At 45.8% G+C, this 7,060-nt stretch overlaps 2 protein-coding genes across 13 annotated transcripts in view, besides 1 other annotated feature; both read left to right on the top strand.

Moving 5' to 3' along the window:
- Window positions 1-4,255, top strand: part of ATP6V0A2 (ATPase H+ transporting V0 subunit a2) — a 49,403-nt gene extending 45,148 nt beyond the window's left edge. For all 4 annotated transcript variants that reach the window (NM_012463.4, XM_024448910.2, XM_024448911.2 and 1 more), the window contains one exon: window positions 427-4,255. In NM_012463.4, the coding sequence (NP_036595.2) occupies window positions 427-532 (106 nt within the window). In that variant the 3' untranslated portion in view covers window positions 533-4,255. The remainder of the gene's footprint in view (window positions 1-426) is intronic.
- Window positions 4,382-4,801: a silencer, noted in NCBI's record as "silent region_5050". NCBI's record gives its function as "represses an Ori minimal core promoter by ATAC-STARR-seq in GM12878 lymphoblastoid cells {active_cell/tissue: GM12878}" and the evidence as "EXISTENCE:reporter gene assay evidence [ECO:0000049][PMID:35858748]".
- The window catches only part of DNAH10 (dynein axonemal heavy chain 10), a 173,420-nt gene continuing 171,160 nt past the window's right edge, over window positions 4,801-7,060 (top strand). For 8 of the 9 annotated variants that reach the window (NM_001372106.1, XM_017018960.2, XM_011538016.3 and 5 more), the window contains exon 1: window positions 4,801-5,050. In NM_001372106.1, coding sequence (NP_001359035.1) covers window positions 4,837-5,050 — 214 coding nt within the window. In that variant the 5' untranslated portion in view covers window positions 4,801-4,836. The remainder of the gene's footprint in view (window positions 5,051-7,060) is intronic. The other variant, NM_207437.3, reaches the window with a different exon arrangement.

Raw genomic sequence — 7,060 nt, forward strand, 5'->3', positions numbered from 1 at the left:
GTTTGCAGAATACTAACGTATGTTTCATACTCCTAATTCACTTTGGGTCTGACAGGTTGCTCTGTCTTATTGCAAGATAAATCCTTCTTATGTATTTCTTAATGTTTTATGGTGTAGGTCAGATTACTGCTCTGTGCCTCCAGTGACTCAAGTGGCAGGAGAGGGTCTCGTTACTTGTGCACGTGCTTTTGTGTGTTGGGCAGTGAGAGACAGCGGATGTGTCAGAGTTTCTGTTCACACTGGGAAAGCCAGCACGGGGTTGGGGGTGCGGGGCAGTGTTTAGCTAAGTAAAAATATATGTGCCAAGAACATATTTTGGAATGAAGCAATTTCAGCACAGGAATTTTTTTTTTTAACTTATAAATGTTGTTTTAAGGAATGTGATTTCATAATCTTCCATTAATACATGGCTTTTTTTTTTTTTAGGGTAGAATTTCAGAACAAATTCTACGTTGGTGCAGGCACCAAATTTGTTCCTTTCTCATTCAGTCTACTTTCATCAAAGTTCAATAACGACGACAGTGTGGCATGATCATATTGCTGTAACCAACAAGCTTTCAGATTTATGGAGAATGACCATGTTATAGACTTTCACTTATGTCAGATTTATGATAGGAAAAATTCCATCTTCATTACTGCCTTATGACATAGCCAAATAATTCTGTAAGATATACCTCTTCCTCATATGTTAAATATTTTGTAAAGTTTACCAATTTGAGATATAAAAATTTCTTTTGGTTTTTTATGATGAGCAAATATAAGTTAATGCCAAACGTTATGTTAAAGTTATTTTTTCAAATACAGGATTTGGGGAGAGAAGCCAATTTTGCATGGCTAGTTGAAAATGGTATTAGATACTTATTTCCTTTAAACTTTATTTAAAACAAACAACAGAGTTAATCTGTCACCTGAAGTTGCCAGATAATATTTTCCAACAGCTGAAGTAGGGATAGTTTTTTAAAAAATTTAATGATGGGTAATCAAAACATTCACATTTATTCTGCTGGATTTAAAAATATGTACTTTTTTTTTTTTTTTGAGATGAAGTCTTGCTGTGTCACGTAGGCTGGAGTGCAATGGCACGATCGTGTCTCATTGCAACTTCCGCCTCCTGGATTCAGGTGATTCTCCTGTCTCAGCCTCCCGAGTAACTGGGATTACAGGCATGCGCCACCGTGACCAGCTAATTTTTTTGTATTTTTGTAGAGATGGGGTTTCACCATGTTGGCCAGGCTGGTCTCGAACTTCTGACCTCAAGTGATCCACCTGCCTCGGCCTCCCTAAGTGCTGGGATTACAGGCGTGAGCCACCATGCCTGGCCAAAATATGCAAATATTTTTTATCCTGTGCTACCTAGAATTACAAGTAGAGGATTGTTTTTACAATTTTGTCTTGTTTTAGTAATTGGGGACAATGGGATAAAATGACATACAACAAATGGTTATCCCACTTGTATATTTTTTTAAAGACTCTTATCCTGTTACCCTTACATAAAACCAGTTATGATAATTGTATGTTTGGAAGATAAATTGTATGCTGAGCCTTAAAACCCAGTGTGACTGTAGAAGATATAATGCGGACATGATTTGAATTTAGTGACAGCTTGGCTGATGTCACTGAACCAGAAGGGTTTATACTGAGTGAAGGAAAGGTAAAAAGTAGTATTTTGTATATTTTTGTAACAAAATATAAATGAAGATATTTTACCATGAAGAGATTGCACTTATCCTTGAGAACAGTCTAAATATAAATGAAGATATTTTACCATGAAGAGATTGCACTTATCCTTGAGAACAGTCTAATGATACTTTTTTTACTTTCAGACTGTTTCTAGCTAAAGTTCTGATAAAAGTATTGAGTTAATTTAAACTTTCAAACACTGTTTAGATCAGTTGAAAACTAATTCTTAATAGCCATTGTTTTATAATCTTTAGTTTAAATTCATCTGTTTGACATTTGGTTTTTTGTGAACTTGAGTCAGTCCTATTGAACATTTTGACCTATATTCTTGCAAATTATGTTAATTTTTCATATTTTAGTTTGATTTTAGACAATTATTTTCAAAAAGAAACCTGACTTTTTTTCACCTTCTTGACATTGTGAGTGATACACGTTAAAAGGCTATTTGCCCGCATCCTCCTCTATCCTGTTTCGAGGTAGAGAGCTTGGCACTTCTGTTACAAGCTGAGAGTCTGGAGGTGCTGAGTTTAACGTGGCTGTGCAGCTGATTTCAAGGCATGAGCTGAACAGCGTTGACACAGCCGTGACTTACAATTAAACCCTTTCAATTACAGTACAGATTCTGTGTGCTACTTGATGAGATGTTACCCAAGGCCAGTTTGGACTTACTGCTTTTTGTCCCTCATATTAAATTATCAAATGATGCCGATGAAATGCTTGAAAATGATTCTGCTCTCAAAGTTATGCTTCCCTAGAAAGGTGTCATGTCGGGCACTTGTGTTGGGTGACTATGACATCCCAGCAGTGCTGGTCAGGTCTCAGAGTTGCTTTCACCTAGAGCTGATGCTTCCACAAGGGGACATTTGTGTTACTTTGCTCCAGGGGTCTGTCATAAAAACAATGGTAACTACTTCATCCCTAGGAAGCCCAAGACTTCAGGGCACTGTTAGCTGATTGGTAAATAAGGGACACGATATTCACGGGAATTGTTTACTGCTCCCCACTAGTAATTCTCATGGGGCCACTTTTTTAACTCTTTCTAATTAACACCTCTTCTCAGCATAGAGCAGAGGATGCAGTCATTTCTCTGTTGAAATCTATGTAGTATTTATGTAGAATGTCATTATATGAAAAGCGAATTCAGAATCCTAACTCTGGGAAAGCGCTCTCTGGAAATGTAGTTTGATAATAGTGTCTTATAGGGGCCACGGGAATTTGTTTCTCTATAAAGCGATGGGCTCCAGTGTCATGTTACCAGAGTTATCGCTCAGTTTTGTTTGTTAAGGCTTTTGCTAGAACCTATTATGTATCCAGTTTTTAAAACATACTTCATTCCCTTGATAGCAGAGATCCAGAGCACAGATGGCAAGTTGTGTGGATGATACTGAATATGTTTATTTTCCTAAAGATAAATGTCACGACACGACATTTCTCAGTTTTTATTTAGATGTTTATTACCATGTGTTAACAGAATCTTAAAACCCAAGGGATTTCTTCAGTAAACTAGACTTTGATTCAACCTGCTGGGCTGGAGACTGTAATTGCCGTGGTCAGTTAAGGAGTGCAAAGGGTGTTCTGTCTGATAGGATCTGGGTGAGCCCTGCGGACTTTCCAGCAGCGAAAGGACTTGGAACTCCTCTTTCGCTGAATGCTGCTCTGTTTCTGGAATGGATATTTTATAACAACATTCTGGTGTCAGCATCCCCTCAGCAGTTGTTTATTTAAAAATTTTTTTATTTTTTTTGAGACAGTGTCTCACTCTGTCACCTAGGCTGAAGTGCAGTGGTGCAGTCTCGGCTCACTGCAACCTCTGCCTCCTGGGTTTAAGCAATTCTCCTGCCCTAGCCTCCCGAGTAGCTGGGATTACAGGCGCCTGCCACAGTGCCCGGCTAATTTTTGTATTTTTAGTAGAGACAGGGTTTCACCATGTTGGCCAGGCTGGTCTCAAACTCCTGACCTCAGGTGATCTACCCACCTTGGCCTCCCAAAGTGCTGGGATTACAGGCGTGAGCCACCGCGCCTGGCCCTCTGCAGTTGTTTAATAAGGCACAGAATACCTGTAGCATAGGTCAGCCTTACGATGTCCATGAATTACATATTCAGACGTTTTAGAGCCTGATACATTTTGGAAAAGAAAAACAACTTCTACACCTATTCTACAGTCCGCATTTAAAACAATAAATTCCTCTATTAAAAACGTAAAGCCGGGTTTGCTTGCGTGCCACAGGGAATATATCCAGGAAGGTTATTATGAAGCTGTCAAATCAAGATGATGGGAATAAGGCAGTTTGAACGAACAGTCTTCCCACAGTCAGGCCATTTTTGCTGATTTGGTTTAGAATTTTCAGAAATACTTAGTACACTCCACCTGTTCTTTGATGGGAATATCTAAGAAGGCTAGGTAGGTTCTTAGGGTTAGCCTGAGTCATCTAGGGGCTCAACTCCTTGTGAGGGGAAATGACAGTGAACAAGTTAGTACTTTGCTCCACAAATGCATGAAAGGACAAATTTGCATCTTCTATCAGTATTTAACTTCCTTTTGCTAATGACAAATAAATATATCTATATTTTTAAACGTGGGTGTTTTGCTTTATTATGCTCTAGTTTGGCAAGAAAGCTAAAGAACTCTGCTCCTTCCCTGATTTTGTAGGCCATGAGGAACTCGTGCTTTCTCGGCTTATTTCCTCCTCGTCTGGCCTCTAATCCCGCCTCTGCCACCGCCGAGGTGCTGTGACCTTCGTCTCGCCAACTCTCTAGCCCCAGCTTCATCTGCAAGGTGGGCGGGCTGCTTGCAAACCGGTCGGCGTGGGGTGGGGTCGCACCCTCGGCTGCAGCGGCCCGAGGGCGGCTCCTGGCGGCGAGGGTCCCGCTCCGCATCCAGGGGCGTGCGCGCTGCCGGGGCCAGGGAGCAACCAGCCTACCTCGGCGGCCCGGGGGCCTGGTGCGCGCCTCCGAGATCCCGGGGCCGGGGCGTGGGCTGCGGCTCGCGGGTTCGGGATCGAGGGGCCGGGCGCGGGGCACTGCCGAGCTTGCAGCCCCCAGCGCCGGCGCCGTCGGCGGGGCGAGCTGCGGCCGTTTCCGGGGCGCCCATTGCTAGGGCCGCCGTTGCCACGGACGCCCGCCCTGCGCCCGGCTCCCTCTGCACTGCGCGGCGCCATGGACGACCTGCGGGTGCTGTGGATGCGCGACCGCGTGTATGCGGCTTTCGGCATCACCGACCCCCAGCTTTTCGAGGACCTGCTCAACCGCGACGACGGCCAGGGCGAGGACCTCATCTTGCACTTCCTCAACCAGGCGAGCGAGGAGGAGGGGCCCTCGGCGCTCTTCATCTACCGCACTATGGTGCCGGAGGAGGTGGAGGTGGAGATTGGTGAGCCTCGACGCGCCGCTCCCTTCCCCGGGCTTCCCTCCTGCCCGTCCCGGCCTCTCCGGCGGGCGCCGGGGCTGCTAGAGCCTGCCCATCGTCCGGCCCCGGCCTCAGGTGCTGTCCACAAACGCTGCCGCCCGCCACGTGCAGGCCCCGGGCGAACCCAGCAATCACAGCCGTCCCTGCCCTCCTGGGCCCACAGCCCACTTGAAAGTCAGGCCTTGATTGAAAAATCACAGCAAACACTGACTTAGCCCGCACCCCGTGCCAGGTGCGGTTCCAACGCTTGTATCAACTCCTTAACCCTACGAGGCGGGTGTATCCTCATCCCTATTTTACAGATGAGCAAACTGGCACGGAGGGGGTTAAGTAACCTGCCCAAGGCCCACGGGGCGTCAAGATCCACTGTGCAATAATCCGAACGGCTGGGTAGAGCCATGCCCAGGTGTGGCAGGGACCCAGGTCACTGTCACTCTCCTTGACGGTCGCAGCCTCTCACGGAGGGTCCGAAGAGCACCCCTTTCTACTTCTGGAGGCTCCTTATATCCTAAAAAGTAAAATAAGGCTAGGACAAAGTTTAAAAACTACAGTAGACTTTAAATGTTTATGTTGAACAAATTAGCATCGCAAATACAAAAAGACAGTGACCAGGGTCCCAGAACCCTCTGTGGAGGCGGATCCCCAGCCCCACCTACTCTCTGATAGGCCAGGGACACTGAGAGGGCAGGGAGGGGCCAGCACAGGTGAGAGGAGGAGGCAGGACAACTCGCTTCAGAAACAGCTAGAAGGAGACTGGGACCTCGAAAGCCGCCTCCTCGCAGGAGCACCAGCTGGAGCACAGCTACCGGGACCTCCTGCCTGGCTGTCCAGTCTCCTGGGCTACTTTTCCAGCCCCTTAAGGACTTGGGGATCCCTTGCAGGGCCTCTCACTGGGTTCGGGTGGCAGGGCCGGCAGACCTTTGATTTTTTTTTTAAAGGTACCAGGCAGATTCATTTATTGTATTCTATTTTTTAACTTTTTTTTTTTTTTTTTTGAGATAGGGTCTCACTTTGTCACCCAGGCTGGAGTGCAGTGGTGCGATCTTGACTCACTGCAACCTCTGCCTCCAGGGCTCAAGTGATTCTCCCACCTCAGCTTCCTGAGTAGCTGGGACTACAGGTATGCGTCACCATGCCTGGCTAATTTTTATATTTTTGGTAGAGACAGGTTTCACCATGTTGCCCAGGGTGGTCTCAAACTACTGAGGTCAAGTGATCCTCCCGCCTCGGCCTCCCAAAGTGCTGGGATTCCAGGTGTTAGCCATCTGGCACCTGGCCACTTCTTTTTTTTTTTTTTGAGACAGAGTCTAGCTCTGTCGCCAAGGCTGGAGTGCAGTGGTGCAATCTCGGCTCACTGCAACCTCCACCTCCCTGGTTCAAGCAATTCTCCTGACTCAGCCTCCCAAGTAGCTGGGATTACAGGCACCCATCACCATGCCTGGCTGATTTTTGTATTTCTAGTAGAGACAGGGTTTCACCATGTTGGCCGGGCTGCTCTTGAACTCCTGACCTAAAGTGATCTGCCCACCTCGGCCTCCCGAAGTGCTGGGATTACAGGTGTGAACCATCGCGCTTGGCCACCTTCATTTATTTTAAATATTCATTATTTGCTTGCACAAAATAAAACGCCTTCATCATAAATCCAAAACCATAAATAAACAACAATAACAAATCCCTAGTGCCATCTGGAGAGAGGACCACGTGATCACGTTTTGGAATTTAACCTTCCAGCCTATTATTTTTTTCTCCCTGGCAGACCTTTGGACCTGAACATTAGATTATAACTGGACCTCGGATGTAGGCACTTTCATTGGCACCAAGTGAAATTATGGAAACCAAAAACACACTCGCAGGATTGACCGTTTAACATGTACCACCACTGCAGGAACTCGGGTTTCGTTTACATTAAAAAAAAATTACAAGACCCTAAAACAATGGATGTGACTTGGATTTCTTGCAGAAGCCCTCCAAGGG

Source organism: Homo sapiens, chromosome 12 (assembly GCF_000001405.40).
Source record: "Homo sapiens chromosome 12, GRCh38.p14 Primary Assembly".
Taxonomy (NCBI): Eukaryota; Metazoa; Chordata; class Mammalia; order Primates; family Hominidae; genus Homo; species Homo sapiens.